The sequence below is a fragment of the Homo sapiens genome, chromosome 7 (genome assembly GCF_000001405.40).
Source record: "Homo sapiens chromosome 7, GRCh38.p14 Primary Assembly".
Lineage (NCBI taxonomy): Eukaryota > Metazoa > Chordata > Mammalia > Primates > Hominidae > Homo > Homo sapiens.
Window position 1 is genome coordinate 19421787 of NC_000007.14, and position 18219 is coordinate 19440005.

Consider the following 18219-nt stretch of genomic DNA (forward strand, 5'->3'; position numbering starts at 1 on the left):
GCAGATATGGCCTCTGGTTGGGAATAATCGTTTTTAATAATGCAGATCATCACAGGAGCTCATGGGAAATCACTCCAAATATTACCCTTGGACTTTAGTATAGAAATATAGCAAAGGGAAATTGTCCCTATGATGCTCAAGGGTTAGAATAATATGGAAAAACCAACTCAGTTCAAATAATTTATTGTCTCTGCCATGCTTTTTGCATAGCACAGCTTAAGCTGTCATTCACTGACGGGCTATTTATATAGTCTGAAATTCCAAAGGATTCCTGGATTTGTGTTCTTCTACACTCTTTAAATGATGCATAATAAGGTACTCCACAGAGGTCTTTTGTAATGAATATGGAGCTGTTTAGTTTGGGCCCCTTCAAAGGGATGGAAGAACAGTAACTGGCTGTTTGAAATTTTATATTATAGAAACTATACTCTGCCACTACTTGAATTTGTTAGCATCTTTAAAATAAACTCTACTCCCAGACAAAACCAAATCAATCTTTGTATTCTTGACATTTCACTCTCGAGGCCAATAAGAGGTGTAAATAGAAGCCCTGAGAAATAAAGGAAGTAGTTGTTCTAGAGGGGTATTCTGGAAGAGATGTGTCCACTATTGTTGATGTGTGTGTGTGTTTTTTTAAAGGTGGCCAAGTTTTTCTTGGCTTCTTTAGCCTAATTATAATGCCTACTTTCTAGCTAGGTGTGGCAGAGTTCAGATTCGAGTTGCAGAGTTGTCAAGCCAAATACCTGCTAGACACCTCAAGCTGGAGGTCTTGCAGGAACCCCAGCCCAACGTCTTCAGACTCTTCTGTCTAATCACCACCTTCAAGTACCTAATTTTTCTCTTTTATTCATCATCTCAGCAAATGGCAAATTATTTGCCCATGAATCCAAAACATAAATGTGGGAGTATAGTGTGAAGAACAATATGAGGAGAGAGGGAGATATTTAGCTCAATTTGGGGTATGTTGACCAGGCATTAATAACATAATTCTTACAACATTAGTGGGTTGTATCAATGTGAATATCCTGGCTGTAATATTTTATTATAGTTTTGCAAATGTTATAATTGATGAAACTGGGTAAAAGGTACACAAATCTCTTTATTATTTCTTACAACTGCACCAGCTGTAAACGTATAATTGTCTCAAATTTTAAAAAATGTTTTTAAATGTATCTTGATCCAAGTACAGAATTCACGTCAATAGTATTCATTTAAGCATAAATTCTATTTTCACCATATTATAGATGCATGCATAAATGTTATAGGTAACTTTAAGAAGATTTTTCTTCTGTATTCTGGTTCTTTGGTTATTCAAAGTTTTGAGCAGATAAATAAAAAAATATTTTTACTGGTTAATTATCAAATATAGTTGTAGGCTGTTGTTTGACATCCTATACAAAAACAGGCACATGGCAGGGTAGTCAAGCGAGTACTCTTTCACTGCTAAACTTGCACTCAGTGAGTTTCTTCATTTTACATGTAGCTTTGTCATTGAGAGCACTTTACCCTCCTCTCCTGAAATGCAATATGATTTTTCTAATTATGTGTGACTCACTTTATATTTCAGATTTCTCAAGGGATACTGAAACAGATTAATGATGATTCTATTTGTGGATTCTGCATTATGATTAATGATCTAGCCGAGAGTCACTAGAATACTTTTGTGTCCATGGGATTATAGGATTATTTCCAAGGCCATCTGAGGACCTCATAACGGCAGGAGACAGTGAGGAACAGTGTGACTTTTTGTTTCTGTGTAATGTTTAGGGATGTGATTTGTTAAAAACAGATGAAAAAATCAGGATGAAGGTCAACTTTACAAAAAAGAAACTCCTAGTCAATAAAAGTTCTGCCATACTCCCAGAAGACTATCTTGTCCTTTTACAATGTCTTAACCCATTGCTCACTTAAGAGAAATAAGTACAATATGCTGCTAAAAATTTAATTGCAATCAATGAGTTTCCAAGCATATGGAATGTTTTTAAAGACATGTTATTTGGGTGAGCTCTTGTTCTGTGAGTTGAATGCCAATCTACCAGTTGTTGGTAGTTGAATACAGTCATTTTTGGTCATTTAAGCACAAATAAAGATCTTTCCTAATGATAGACAGAATATATAAGAAAAGAGAAACTCTTCCTTTTGCTCAAATAGACTGCTCAGGATATGCTTGCCTCAAGTGCTTTGATTTTCCCTCTGGTCATTTTACATGAGAGGGTATATTTTATTCCCTAGAAAGCTTAATCTGTAATCAGTTATATTTAACAAGTTAACTCAATTGTAAATGATATGATACAAATGAAGATTAAAGCTAATTTAGGACAGCATTTTTACTACTGTATAAATTAGCATTGGAAGAATCAGAAGGAACCATGTTTTTGATTAAGGTTTGGTTTAGGCTGAAGGGTTTCAATAAGATCAGTTTTATAAAACTCTGAACTGGAGCCAATACCAGCTAAAAGATAACAGGATAGATTAAAGCCATGGTAGAAGTTTAAAAATAAAGTCCCTGAAAACCTTTAATCAGGATACAGACATGTGTGTTTGTCTGTGTGTGTGTGTGTGTGTGTGTGTGTGTGTGTTGTAGTCAACCCTCACCTGCCACAGTTTGTTCATGGCCATACATTTATGCCCTGCTCCCATTACTCCAAGTCATTCTTTCAGCCACTGTAGCCAGTATTACTGCTTTCCTGGCTAGCGTTCCCTGTGTACAGTTTGCACTCCCCCTTAAAAATTTCCAGTTCATTTTTCATGTTAAAATCAAAACACTCTTTCAAAATATCTTGATCATGGCCAGTTTTCTGCATAATCCCCTTTCATAGCTCTCTATTGGCCTCAAGATGGGCCAACAAGATGGGCCAACATTCTTTACTGTATAAAATGCTCTGTAGTGTCTGCTTCTGTTCAACTAAGGTCATCCTTTACTACCTCTTCTGATTTTTCCACTCACCCAAATTATGCTCTATGAATCTTCTGAGATTTATCTCCTATTCTTTGCAGTATTTTTAGACTCCTCCTGTAGTATTCCCCCACTACCTTCCATACCTGTCATCTGACAAACTTCTAATAGTGTCCGAGGTCATGATTTGGAACTGAGGAATCTCCTGGCTTTTGCATGATAGCTTATTTGTCTGTCTTTCCAATAAGTAGGAAAGCTGTTAGATTTGGGACTGGGTTTTGTTCACCATTATATCTATTTTATAAGATTAAAATATGCTTTTGATGGTAGGACAAAACACAATGACAGAAAGATGAAAGGCAGAACTCTTTGTCACTTATAGCTCCAGAGGAGAAAAGGCTGCTATGCAGGACCACACAGGGAAGAATAACAACAAGCTGGAGCTGTAGGGGACAGCTTATGTATGGCAAGTGGGGTGGGTTTAGATAGGTTACTGGACTGCTAGTTTATTGGCAAGTTTGAATACTTTTGCAGGGTCCGGGGCTTTGAGGCTGCTTCTAGTTGTCTGGTGTCTAGCTCTGGGGCAAGCAGGAGGGTTCATAATTATCTAGGAGTGTAAGAACCTGATAAAGGGAGTGGCTGGTGTATAGACATAAATAGCAGCCCAAGAAGGGGATCTGGTTGCCTCTAGCTATTGCTGCAAAACTGGGTGAAGACAAGGTTTCAAACAAACAAAAACCAAACTGTATTACACTATAGTTCAGAGTTTATATTGCGTGCTTAATGCATATTTATTGATACAATGAGTGAAAAACAGATATATGTGTATATGCATGAATATATGTTACCATTTGGCTCTGTGACTACTGTGCTTTTCCTTAAGCTGCTAGTTATTTGGTATAATCTTATAAGTATCTAAACGTCACCTACCAGTTACTGTTTCTGGGCCTGTTTTCACATCTCTAAAATGGGTTTCAAATCCCAGCACTTTGGGAAGCCGAGGCGAGCAGATCCCGAGGTCAGGAGTTCAGACCAGCCTGACCAACATGGTGAAACCCTGTCTCTACTAAAAATACAAAAAGTAGCCGGGCGTGGTGGCATATGCCTGTAATTCCAGCTACTCAGGAGGCTGAGGCAGAAGGATCACTTGAACCCGGCAGGTGGAGTTTGCAGTGAGCCAGGTTCACAGCACTGCATTCCAGCCTGGGCGACAGAGCAAGACTTCATCTCAAAAAAAAAAAAAAAAAAAAGAAAAAGAAAAAGAAAAAGGGTTTTAGACTCCTTCTTACAGTGAGAAGTGGTAAGACATTTGGGAAATTAAAAATTTATATATTTTATTTTCAGAAACATTACTTTGATAATTGTATTTATGCAAGATAAAACTACCATAAATATGCTAGCTGACCAGACATAAAATTGATAGTTAGGCCAAGAAGCTGTTTCTAGAGCTGGCAGACCAAACTTGCTCCCTGCTTTGAAAGCTACACTTAAAAATTAGCTTTTTATGAAACAATACTCTTTTGGAATATGACTGTTGGCATTGCAAATAATAATGCTAACACATGAGAGAAAAAATAGATTATGCTTTATCTTTTAAATATTAAAAATAATTTATATACTTTCTAAATTATATTCTTGCTGTAGTTGCAATTTGAGAGGCATAATAAATAAATGTATTTGCAGAGTTTATTCAAATTGAACTGTTTTAAAGAACCTTATGAAGACAAATGTTGCTTTTCCACCAAGGCCAAAGTAAAAAATGAAGAAAAATTAAAGCTGAATTTTTCTGGAGTTAGTATCTTTTATACTGTTTTGATTTGTTTGCATTGTTAATATTATTTACAATATGATTAAGACCAAGCAGCTTATTACATAAAGTTTTTTTTAGCTATAAATAAGAGATAAAGTATTCTAAGCCACGAATATATGATTAACAAGATGTTCATCATGTCTCCAATGGTCTTAAATTGTGTGTGTCTGTTAAGTACCTTATCTCTAAGGAAAGTGAGGGAAGAATATGTGCAAAAAAAGTGCACTAAAACAAAGTAGCAAATAAACAAGAAACAGATGCTAAGGTATAAGGTGTTAGATCACAAAAGAAGGAACTCATTTAGAGTCACTCAAACAGTTAATTTTGTATCTTTTATCCCTTGCTGGAATCATCTATTTTAAATGTATTTTTATTCTGAAATAATCCCGTAAAACTTGCAAACACAATTCAAAGTATTGATTTTGAAAGTAAGTTGTTGACCTGATATACAACTTAAATACCTTAATCTTGTGAGATTTATTATAAACATAGTCAATCTCCTACATAACCACCATACAGCCATCAAAATCAGGAAAATAACATTAATATATTATTATCAACTCAGCCTCAGACCCTACTCAAGTTTTTCCAATTTTGTAAATAATGTTTTTTTATAGAAAAAAATTCAGGTCAGAATCATGAGTTGCATTTAGGTGTTATGTCTCTTTAATCTCCTTTGGTCTAGAGTAGTTCCAATTATTGCCTTGACTTTCATGACCTTGATACTTTTGAGGATTACAGGACACGTATTTTATAGAATATTATTTAATTTGTGTCTTTCCAGTATGGCCTCATGATTAGATTCGCGTTATGCATCATTGTCAAGAATATCTCAAGGATGCTAGGTCTTCTTGTTGCAGCCTATCAGGTGGTTCACAGGTTCTACTTATTAATGATGTTAACCACTCTAGCTGATTGCCTATACTGGCCACCCACCTCACAGTGTGCATGAACCTCTAATCCGCTTTGGCTGACAACCCATAGTGCGCCACCTCTCCACAGGTGCATCTTATTCAGCCTGACTTGTTCTGGCCACTGATGTTTTTAAAACTGATTTTTCAAGAAAGGGAAGGGAAGGGAAAACAAGGCAAGGGAAGAGGGAGAGAAAACACCTTTAACTTCACAGACATTGTATACTCACAATCTTTAATGAATTAAAAAGTAATACATGAACTTCTGGTTTCGGATACTATATAAAAATGGCTTGGAAGCCATCTCTCCCATCCACATAATAAGGAAAAAAAAAGCTGAATAACTGAAAGTTAACAGCTTTTCTTGGATACATCAGAGAAGTGAGTTCACAAGGTAAACCACCATCCCCAAAACTAGAGAGTCAGGTATGAACAAACAGTCACAGCGTACTGAGCAGGAAATGCCACAGGAGCATTTCCTCACCAGGATCTCACCAGGAGCATCTGGTGAGAACAGTTAAAGAATACTTAACTGACTAAATGCCGAAGACTGAGTGTGGACTAGCTTAAGAGATAAAAACTCCTGAAATCCCGGAATTAGGGGGTTCCTCATACTTTTGTGAGTTTTACCTCTAAGAGCGCCAACATGTTCTCACTGTGAAGATCCATGAAAAATCCCCTCCTGCTTCCAGCAGTAAGAGAGGAAGAGTAACCACTTGCAGATGTATCCATAGCACTCCCTTCTCCTTAACAAAGGCCTGCCCTCAAAGGACACTATTTTACCAGAGCCTAACCAAGTTCAACTGTACCTGAGTTTAACTGACCTGGGTAAAAGGAAATACCCAACTCCAGCCTACTCCAGCCTTTCTATCTCACCTAAGGGATTGAACATAAAAGCTGAGAAACCCTGGTAAAAGTCATAACCTGGGGCAGAAGCTCACTAAAAGACTGAGACCTACCCACAGGAGTACACAGCACTTTTCTTCTGACATTTTACTACCATGACAATAAGGAACTTGTATAATAGCAAGTGATTGCAGCTGAAAAAATCTGTGAGGTTCAGATGCTGTTTAAAAAGTGGTCTCTAGGGAAACCTGAACACGACAGGAGAGACAAAAACAAGGACATCAGAGAAAATTTTAACCTGTGAAATATACAACTATAGCAAACAGTAAGCATGCCTAAATCCTAGCCAGGTAAACAACACCCCACCCTATAGCCTATTTATCTTGGTTCCTTTTACATAACATATCATTTCTAACTTTCAACAAAAAATTTATAAGGCATGGTAAAATAGAAAAAATCAAAACAAAACAAAAATAAACATAGTCTAAAGAGACAGAGTGAGAACTAGTCTCATATATGGCAGATTTTGGAATTATCCGATTGGGAAATTATAACTGTGACTAATATACTAAGAGGTCTAATGAAAAGTAGTGGACAACATGAAAGAACAGGTAGAGAATATAAGCAGAGAAATGAAAATTCTAAAGAAGAGTCATAAGGAAATACTAGAAATCATAATGCAACACGAATGAAGGATGTCATTGATGGGCTCATCACTAGACTGGACATAGCTGTGGAAAGAATCAGTGAGGATGAAGATGATAGAAACTTTCAAAACTAAAAAGTAAATAAAAATATTTGAGAACAAAATATCCAAGAACCATGAGTCAATTTCAAAACGTGTAATGTATGTGCAATGGGAATACAAAAAGAAAAAAAGAAGGAAAAGAAGATATATTTTAAGAAATAACATCTGAGAATCTCCCCAAATTATTGGCAGACACCAAATCTCAGATCCAGAAAGCTCAGATAAGTATCAAAAATGTATACCTATGCATATTATATTTAAACTTCAGGAAATCAAACACAAAGAAGTATTTTGACAAGTCAGAGAAAAAAAAACACCTTACCTATAGAGGAACAAGAATAAGAATATATCAGACTTCTCATCAGAAACCATGTAAGCAAGGAGAGAATGCAATACAAAGAAAGTATTTAAATAAAAAAAACCCAATGACCTAGAATTCTGTGTTCAGTGAATTATTCTTCAAAAAGGAAAGAGAAATAAAGATTTTCTCAGACAAAAAAGTTGAAGGAATTTGTTATGAATAGACTGAAGTGAAACAATTCAGAAACAGAAAGTCATATTGCATATTCTCACTTATAAATGAGAGCTAAATAATGTGGACACATGGACATAGGGTGTGGAATAGTAGTCACTGGAGACTTGGAAGAGTAGGAGGGTGGGAAGGGGGTGAAGGATGAGAAATTACCTAATGGGTACAAGGTACACTATTTGAGTGCTGGTTACACTAAAAGCCCCGACTGCACTACTGTGCAATATATCCCTGTAGCAAAACTGCATTTCCCCTTAATTTTTGTTGTTGTTGTTGAGACAGAGTCTCTCCCTGTTGCCCAGGCTAGAGTACAGTGGCACAATCTCGGCTCACTGCAAGCTCCACCTGTCGCCTTCAAGCAGTTCTCCTGCCTCAGCCTCCTGAGTAGCTGGGATTAGAGACACGTGCCACCACACCCGGCTAATTTTTGTATTTTTGTAGAGACGGGGTTTCACCATGTTGGTTAGGCTGGTCTCAAACTCCTGACCTTGCAATCTGCCCGCCTCAGGCTCCCAAAGTGCTGTGATTACAGGCATCATCCACCTCACCCGGCCTGTACCCCTTAAATTTAAACACACACACACAAACACACAAAATGTTAAAAGAATTCCTCCAGAGGAGAGGAATATGATATAGATATTAAAATTGGATTTATATAAAGGAAGAGCATTCAAATTAAATAAAAGGGGATAAAATAAAATTGTTTCTATTTTGTATTTTAATGATCTAAAACGTAACAGTTAAAAACATTAATAGCAACAATGTATTGAACAAATACAGCTTATATATAAGTGAAATGTAAGACAGTAACGTTCTAAGAGATGGAGAAATTGGAAATACTTTGTTGTACAGTACCTGTAATAAAAAGTGGACCTAGATTAGTTGTATATGTATATTGTAAACTTTAAGACAATCATTTAAAAAACTAAAGAAATAAGTATAATTGATAAACTAAGAGGGGAGAGGAAATAGAATCATATAAAATGCTCACAACCAGAAAAGGAAAAAAGAGAGTGGAAGACAAAAACAAAGAAAGAACAGGGGAAACAAATAGAAAACAGCAACAAATGTAGCCAATAATAACCCGGCACTATCAATAATCACTTTAAATGTCAATGATCTAAATACAACAATTAAAAACAGGCTGTCAGAGTGGATATCAAAACCCAATTATATTTCACCTACAAAAAACCCACTTTAAATATATAAACATTAATATATGAGAAACCAAGGTGTGAAGAAAGATATGCCATGCTAACGTTAATCAGAAGAAAGATGGGGTAGTTATGTTCACTTCAGGGAAAGCAGACTTCAGAGCAAGAAAAATGATCAGAAATAAAGACAGGCTTTATGTAATCACAAAAGTGTCAGTTCTCCCAGAAGACATAATAATCCTGGATGTGTATATGTTTAACAAAAGTATATTAAAATACATGGGGCAAAAACTGTTAGAACAGCAAAGAGAAATGGGAAAATCCACTATTATATTTGGAGAATTCAATTTGCAGGAATTAAACAGATTCAGCAGATAGAAAGATAACACTTATATAATGAAACTGAATAACACCATCTATCAACTATCTATTTGACATTTACGGAAGACTTCACCCATCAACGTAATAATATATATTCTTTTCAGGTTCACAGAACATTCGCCAAGATAAACTACATTCCTGGCAGTGAAATACCCTGAACAAATTAAAAATAATAAAAATAATACAACGTCTGTCCTCAAAATTACAATAGAATTAAACTAGAAATTACTAACAGAAAAAAGTTACAAAATCACAAAATAATTGGAGATTTAACAACACACTTCTAAATAATATGTGATTCAAAGAAGTCTTAAGATAAATTATAAAATATTTCAAACTAAATGAAAATAAAAATATCAACTATCAAAATTTGTGGCCAGATATGGTGGCCTACGTCTGTAATCCCAGCAGTTTGGGAGGCCAAGTCAGGTGGATCACTTGAGCTGAGGAGTTCAAGACAAGCCTGGGCAACATGGTGAAACCTCATCTCTACCAAGAAAAAAAAAAAAGAAACTAGCCAGGCATGGTGGCACATGTAGCTGTAGTCCCAGCTACTTAGAAGGCTGAGGCAGGAGGATTGCTTGAGCCCAAGAAACAGAGGTTGCAGTGAGCCAAAAACATGCCACTGCACTCCAGCCTGTGTGCACTCACTCTGTGAGTGAGTACCTGTCTCAAAAAAAAAAAAAAAAAAAAAAGATAAAAATAATTGTGATATGCAGCAAAAGCAGTGCTTGGAGAGAAATTTATAGCACTAAATACACGTATTAGAAAAGATAAAGGATCTGAAGTCCCTAACTAAGTTTCTGCCTTACAAAACTAGTAAAGGAGAGCACATTAAATCCAAGGAGAAAATAAATAATAATAAATTACAATATAAATTGATAAAACTGAAAGCAGAAAATTAGTACAGAAATCAATAAAACCAAAAGATAGTCCTTTGAAAAGATCAATAAAATAACTAAACCTCTTGCTAGGTTAACCAAAAACAAGAAGACACAAATTACTCATATCAAAAATAAAAGAGGGGTTATCACAGCTGATAGCACAGACATTAAAAGGACAATAAAGGAATATTATTATCAATTCTATTAGTGTGTGTGCTGCTGAAGCGAGCACAATTCTATTACCCAGAATTTGAAAATTTAGATGAAATGAGTCAATTCTAGAAAGACACAATCTACCAAAAGTCAAGATTATATATCTGTTAGAGAAATATATAATTTAAATAGGTCTATATCAATTAAAGAATTTGAGTCAATAACTAATAAATTTTCAAAACCGGGAAGTCCAGGCCTAGATAGTTTCACTGGTAAGTTCTAACAAACTTTAAATAATTCTCTACAATCTTTTTCACAATCTAAAAACTGAAGAAATACTTTCTACCTTATTCTATGAGGCTGGAATTACCTTCATATGAAAATGAAACAAATATGTTACTGGAAAGGAAATTATAGACCAATATCTCTCACAAAAATATATATAATCTTCAACAAAATATTAGCAAAACAATTCATAAAAATAATTATACACCATGACTGATACGGTTTGGCTCTGCGTCCCCACCCAAATCTCATCGCGAATTGTAATGCCCACAATCCCCATGTGTCAGGGAAGGGGCCTGGTGGGAGGTGATTGGATCATGGGGGTGGTTTCCCCCATGCTGTTCTCATGATAGTGAGTAAGTTCTCAGGAGATCTGATGGTTTTATAAGTGTTTGACCATTCCTCCTTCATATGTTCTTTCTCACCTGCCACCATGTAAGATGTGCCTGCTTCCCCTTCAGCCATAATTGTAAGTTTCCTGAGGCCTTCCCAGCCATGTGGAACTGTGAGTCAATTAAACGTCTTTTCTTTACAAATTACCCAGTCTTGGGTATTTTTTACAGCAGTGTGAAAAAAGACTAATACAATGACCGAGTAGTTTATTTGGTCATTTTTTTGGTACATTATTTTTATGTACAAAGCTGGTTCAACGTTTGAAAATCAGTTAATATGGCCCATCATATCAATAGGCTAAAGAAGAAAAAAATATGTGGTCATGTCAATAAGTGTAGAAAGAAGCATTTGATAAAACCCAGCAGGCATTCATGATAAAGACTGTCAGCAGCCTAGGAAAAGAATTAGCATCATACTTATTGATGAGAAACTAGATGCTTTCTCCCTAAGATTTGGGACAAGTAAAATATGACATCACCTCTCACCAGTCTTATTCAGCATTGCTCAGGAAGTCTTAACTAATGCAATAAGATCAGAAAAGGAAACAAAATGTATACAATTTGAGACAGAATAAATAAAACTCCTTGTTTACAGGTGATAAAACTGTCTATGGTGGTTAATATTAGGTGTCAACTTGGTTGGATTGAGGGATGCCTGGATGGCTGGTAAAGTATTGTTTCTGCGTATGTTTGTGGGAGTGTTGCAAGAGGAGAGTCCGTGGACTGGGGGAGGAAGATCCACCCTCAATTGGTGGGCACCATTCAATCAGCTGCCGGATCAAATCAGCTCCTGCTAAAACAACGCAGGAGGAAGAAGGTGGGTTAAGTTTGCTTGGCTACTCTTCTGGCTTTCTTTTTTCTTCTTCCCATGCTAGACGCTTGGTTCTGCTCCTCCTGCTCTTGGACATCAGACTCCAGGTTCTTCAGCTTTTGGACTCTGGTACTTGACCAGCAGCTTCCTGGGAGCTCTCAGGACCAAAGGTTGTACTGTCACCTTCCTTGGTTTGAGGTTTTTGTGGTTGGACTGAGCCACTATGGTTTCTCCTTTCCCCTGCTTGCAGACAGCCTATCATGGGACTTCGCGGTGGAATCATGTGAGCCAGTTCTCCCTAATAAACTCACTTTTATATATACAAATATTCTATTCACTCTGTCCCTTTGGAGAACCTTAATACATGGTCCATATAAAAAAAAATCCTGGCCGGGTGCGGTGGCTTACACCTGTAATCCCAGCACTTTGGGAAGCTGAGGCGGGCAGATCACTTGAGATCAGGAATTCAAGACCAGCCTGGTCAACATGGTGAAACCCCGTCTCTACAAAAACACAAAAATTAGCCAGGCATGATGGCAGGTACCTGTAATCCCAGCTACTCGGGAGGCTGAGGCAGGAGAATCGCTTGAACCTGGGAGGTGGAAGTTACAGTGAGCTGAGATTGTGCCATTGCACTCCAGCCTGGGTGACAGAGCGAGACTCCATCTCAAAAAAAAAAAAAAAAAAAAAAAAAAAAATCCCAAAGAGTGGACATAAAACCTCCTAGAACTAATAAGTAATTATAGCAAAGTACTAGAATACAAGATTAATATGCATGTCAATTGCATTCTTACATATCAGCAATTAACAATTAGAATTTGTTTCATTTATGTTAACATTATCTTAGCACCAATATTGCCACCAAAAAACCTGAATTGGTGTAAAGCTAATAAAATATGTGCAAAACCTATATGAAGAGAACTATAAAACTCTAACGAAGAGGTTCAAAGAAGACCTAAATAAATGGAAAGATATTGCATTTCATGGATGGTTATGCCCTAACATTTCCCTAAAAATAAAATATATTAATAAAAAAGTAATAAATGCACAGGATAAAAGATGCATTCATTATAAAAAGAAATTAAATTGAAGTATGTTCCCCTTAGACTTACAACTCTACTTCCTATTGTTGCAATGTTCTTATACTTCCTTGTAGAACATTATCTGTTTACTAACATAAATATATGTGCATATTTATTTATTTATTTATTTAGAAATGGAGTCTTGCTCTGTCACCCAGGCTGGAGTGCAGTGGTCTGATCTTGGCTCACTGCAACCTCCTCCTCCTGGGTTCAAGTGATTCTCCAGCCTCAGCCTCCTGAGTAGCTGGGATTACAGGCACGCACCACCATGCCTGGCTAATTTTTGTATTTTTAGTAAAGACGGGGTTTCACCATGTTGGTCAGGCTGGTCTCGAACTCCTGACCTCGTGATCCACCCGCCCCCGCCTCCCAAAGTGCTAGGATTACAGGTGTGAGCCACTGCACCTGGCCATACGTGCATATTTATATGTGCACTTATATATGTGCATACCTATACTCCTTTTATTTACACAATTTTCATAGTGATTTATTTTGATAACATTGCTTGGAGATCTATATTGGCACATAGATATATATCTCATTATTTTAAAAAATTGAGTAGTATTTGCCAAATATTGATGAATTCTAAAATTTTTGTGTTGTCCTTGTTTTTTGTTGTTGTATCCACAGCAAAAATTTCTATCTGTAGAATTATTAGGCCAAAGGCATGCACATTTTAAATGTCAGTAAATATTGCCAAATTACCCTCCTAATTTTGTAGCAATTGATAATATCAATTTTCCCACATCTATTTTTGCCATTCCCATGGGTGAGAAAGCATATTTTATTTAATTTTCATTTGTGTTTATATAATTATGAATCATATTGTTCCTTCATATTTATTAAATTATTGTATTTTTTATAACGAATCATTTCAAGTTCCTTTTATATTTCTACTTGTACAGCTAGACTCCCTCATTAGTTTTTAATATTTTCCTGATTCTTTTAGGATATTTTCCAGATGAACTTGACAACAATAGTCACAATAAAACACAGTTTCTCCTATTATTAACATTTTGCATTCGTGTAGTATATTTGTTACAATTGAAACTTAGTATCATATTGTGATTATGAAATAATTTAGAGAGCAGTGATATCTTTAAAATATTTTTTCTGTTAAGAAATATAGCTTTATTTCTCATTTATGTCTCTTAGAAGGGTTTGAAGTTTCAAAATTTAAGTAATATATATGTTAATCTTATTTCTAGAAATATCATTTTCCAGTCTTTTAAATAGTGACAATCTAATTCTGTGACAACATGCCTTATGATAATCTAAGGAACACAATACTTACTTAAATACATTTTTTCCCTCCTATCAACAATTGTTTTCATACAAACCTTTCAAAAACCAGATTCTGTTATTTTAGTGCTAATCCTAGAAATAAGAACTTTTATGGTTGAGTTATGAAGCACTTAATATGATATTTACCACTTTTCTGTTCATTCCTCACACATTTATTATATCCAAAAACCATGGACTCTTGCACCTTCCTTTATGAGATAAGCTTTATAAAACTATAATTTTAGAAATCAGTAACTGGTTTCTGTACAATTCCAGATAGAATATTATCACAGAAATTACTCAAAGTAGGGAAGTCATTTTCGGGGTGGGGTAGGGTGGGGATGGCATGGGTTTTGGGGATGAGATAGCTGAATGGGAACACAAATTTTCAAAAAAAAATTATTTTATCCAAAGTTTATTGGATTCTCATCTTCTTTGGGCAAGCAAAGAAAATGAAGACAGTAACAAAAAAATATAAAGCTGGGTGTGAGATCTAATATTACCAGTGCACATTTCTATGCTGCAACTTACGTATACTTCAGGACAACATTGTGAGATACATTCTTTGTTATTTTACAGATCAGAAAATACAGGCCCAGGATGCTAGAGTAAATTTCCAAAAGTCACAATCATAGACTTAGTTACGAAGGCCTGGGACTTGAACTCAGTCCTAGCCTGACTCCAAAGCCCATGTTCTCTTCATAATGCACTCTGCCATTCAGAAACCATTGATTGCATAGGGAAAGAATACCAGGTAATGCACTATGGGTAATAGAACAGAGTAATAAAATATAAATATTAAGCGCAAATAAAATGGAAAAAAATTCAAACAAGCACATTTTCCACTTATATTCTATAGGGAATTTCATCAGGCATATTACATTTTATGATACAAATAGCATAAACGCCACTGCTTCTACGTTATATACTTGGTTTTTTTAATGCCGAATCATCCTGTCTCTCTATTGCTTATAATACATGGTCTTTCCTATGAAATATTTTATTAGCAAGCTATTTAAGAACCTGAATTTATTTTCTCTTATAGAATAAGGACTTGATATCAGCCATTTAACAGAGGCAGGCTGTAGCCACTTCCCTTCCCTAATCCACTTTCATTAATTTTTTCTTTGTTCTTGGCATTATAACCTTTCTGTGTATACTCCCATACATTTCTCAGGCTGTAAAGAGTAAGCCATTTAAAAACAGCAAATCGAGAAATTTAGAGTTGAGAAAGCCCCTGGAGGTCGTCTGGATTACCATCCCTTATAATGCCTTATATATAGCCAGAAACAGTGTATAAAATTACACTCAGAACTGATCTAGAAGACATCACTTCTCCACAAACACAATGACTTTCACTGCCGACAACATTCAGTGCTTGACTTAACTCCAGTGCTTCGAGAAATTGGATCTATAGCCCTGATTTTATCCTCACTAGAATGAATTCCAAGTATTCTCTGCTACTTTGCATCTCTGGCTCATACTGCAGGTGCTGCTGATTAGACCCTAGCTTTATGCCTGCATCTAGCTCCAAGGGTCTGAGAAAGCAGGTATCTGATATCTATGGTAGGAAAAAAAACTGTCAAACATCCACTACATTTGTCAAGATCTCTATTACAACATAGCTTCTGAAACTGAATGCATCATTCCAGATGGCTTCTGACCAATGCAGTATGCAATGCAATTAGCCACCTTGGTCTGAACAGAATGCATAATTATATTGAAGCACATGCTAAGATTATATGAGTGATTTTCATATCCACATCAAAGGGTTGGTTCACAATTAAGCTTTCAGTTAACTATAACCCTAAAACTCCGTCATCTTTTACTGCTGTTTCATCATGTGTTCTCCCATCCTGCATTTGTACATTTGTGGCTTGATTTTTTAACCCAAATATAGAACTTCATAATTAGCCCTGTTACATTTCACTTTGTTAGTTTTGGCCCATCTTTCCAATATTTTTCAATCTTTTTGAATACTGTCTCTATCATCCAATATAGTAACTACTGCTACACAGCTTTGTATTATACACGTACTGGATAAACATGCTTTTGGTTTTAGTCCAAATTCCTGATAAAAATGCTGAAAATAATATAATACATATAAAACACTGTGGGATACCACACAATATTTTCATCCACGGTGGAATCGAACCATTAATTCATATTTCAAGCCATTGACTAAATTTATCTAGAGTTATGTTCAAAATGTGTTCTTTTTTTAGTTTGCATTATGATGATGATGATGATGATGCAAAGGGACACATGAAAGATATTTAAAAGAAAATTTCTTTATGGTATAAGCATTATGCAATAAGGAAGTAGGATGTGATTAATAATCAAAGATAACATATTCTCCAATGTGTGGACAATATATTCTTAAAAAATAAAATTATAAATCCCAGATTACTATCATGTATACTTTGTAGACCTGTCATAATATCATATTACTATAAATCTCAGAGCAAACAGCAAACATTTTCTGTGAAAGACCAGATAGTAAATATTTTGACTTTGCATTCCATGTGCTTTCTCTTGGAAATACCTAACTCTGCCCTTGTAGAGAAAAAGCAGCCATAGACAATACATATATGAGTGGAAATGATTGTTCCCATAAAACTTGACTTGTAAATATATGTGGCAGGCCAGATTTGGCCCATAGGCTCTAGTTTGTCCAACTGTTTTTAGAAGATGGTCTATACAAGGCCCACAAAGTGGGCATGTGGACTCACATATAGATGAATATATTACAATATTACAATATTCCCATAGTGTATATTTAATATTTTAAAAATTTCATATACTAGGTTTTCAAGAGCCAGAACTGTCTTGTTTCTTTTTTCTTTTTTTTTTTTTTTTTTTTGAGACAGAGTCTCGCTCTGTCGCCCAGGCTGGAGTGCAGTCGTGCAATCTCCGCTCACTGCAAGCTCCGCCTCCCGGGTTCACGCCATTCTCCTGCCTTAGCCTCCCCAGCAGCTGGGACTACAGGCATACACGACCACGCCTGGCTAATTTTTTTTTTTTTTTTTTGTATTTTTAATAGAGACGGGGTTTCACTGTGTTAGCCAGGATGGTCTCGATCTCCTGACCTTGTGATCCGCCCACCTCGGCCTCCCAAAGTGCTGGGATTACAGGCATGAGCCACTGTGCCCGGCCTGTCTTGTTTCATTTTGAACTTCAGTACCTAACAATGTTCTGGCACTTGCTAGTTGCTCCATATAAGTTGGTCATTATTCAAATAGGCATTAACATGCTATTTAAAATAGAGTCAGCATTCCTAGGTGTGGTGGACCCAGTTCCTCCCTTAAGAACAAGAACAATGGGCTTCCTACCTTTAACGCTAAGAGTGCTGCTGGTAGACAGCCCTCAGCTGAAAACCCTTAGAAATTACTTAGGGTCAAGAGAGCAACCTCTTCTAAGGCCGTGTCTCCTTCCCAGGACACCCTGTTTCCAGTGACAGATCAACATGAGGGATAAGGCTGATGTCTTTATTCTAACTCAGGACAAGTCTGAAGGTCATTTTAGCTTCAGAGTTCCTAGCTGAGGTCTTCATTGAGACTGAATTACAGCTAACCCGTCTCTTCTCAAATCTTCTTCCCTAAATTTTGATTTCAAAGGACTCCTGATATAGTTTGGCTTTGTGTCCCACCCAAATCTCATCTTAAATTGTAAATCTCTAGTTGTCAAAGGAGGGAACTGGTGGGAGGTGATTAGATCACGGAGGCAGTTTTACCCCTGCTGTTCTCGTGATAGTGAGGGAGTTCTTACAAGATCTGATGGTTTAAAATGGCAGTTTCCTCTGTGCTCTCTCTCCTGCTACCATGTGAAGGTCCCTGCTTCCTCTTTGCCTTTTGCCATGATTTCCTGAGGCCTCCCCAGCAATGCTGAACTGTGAGTCAATTAAACTTCTTTTGTTTATAAATTACTCAGTTTCAGGTAGTATCTTTACAGCAGTGTGAAAATGGACTAATACAACCCACTAATAATCCTCCTGCATTCTAGTATCTGTCACAGAGTCTACTTTCCAGTGAATGCAACCTGCAACAGCAACCT

General features: G+C 36.2%; 1 annotated feature.

Moving 5' to 3' along the window:
- Positions 1–525: an enhancer, noted in NCBI's record as "OCT4-NANOG hESC enhancer chr7:19461410-19461934 (GRCh37/hg19 assembly coordinates)". NCBI's record gives its function as "activates a minimal SCP1, AML or CMV promoter by ChIP-STARR-seq in naive H9 embryonic stem cells {active_cell/tissue: H9 hESC(naive)}" and the evidence as "EXISTENCE:reporter gene assay evidence [ECO:0000049][PMID:30033119]".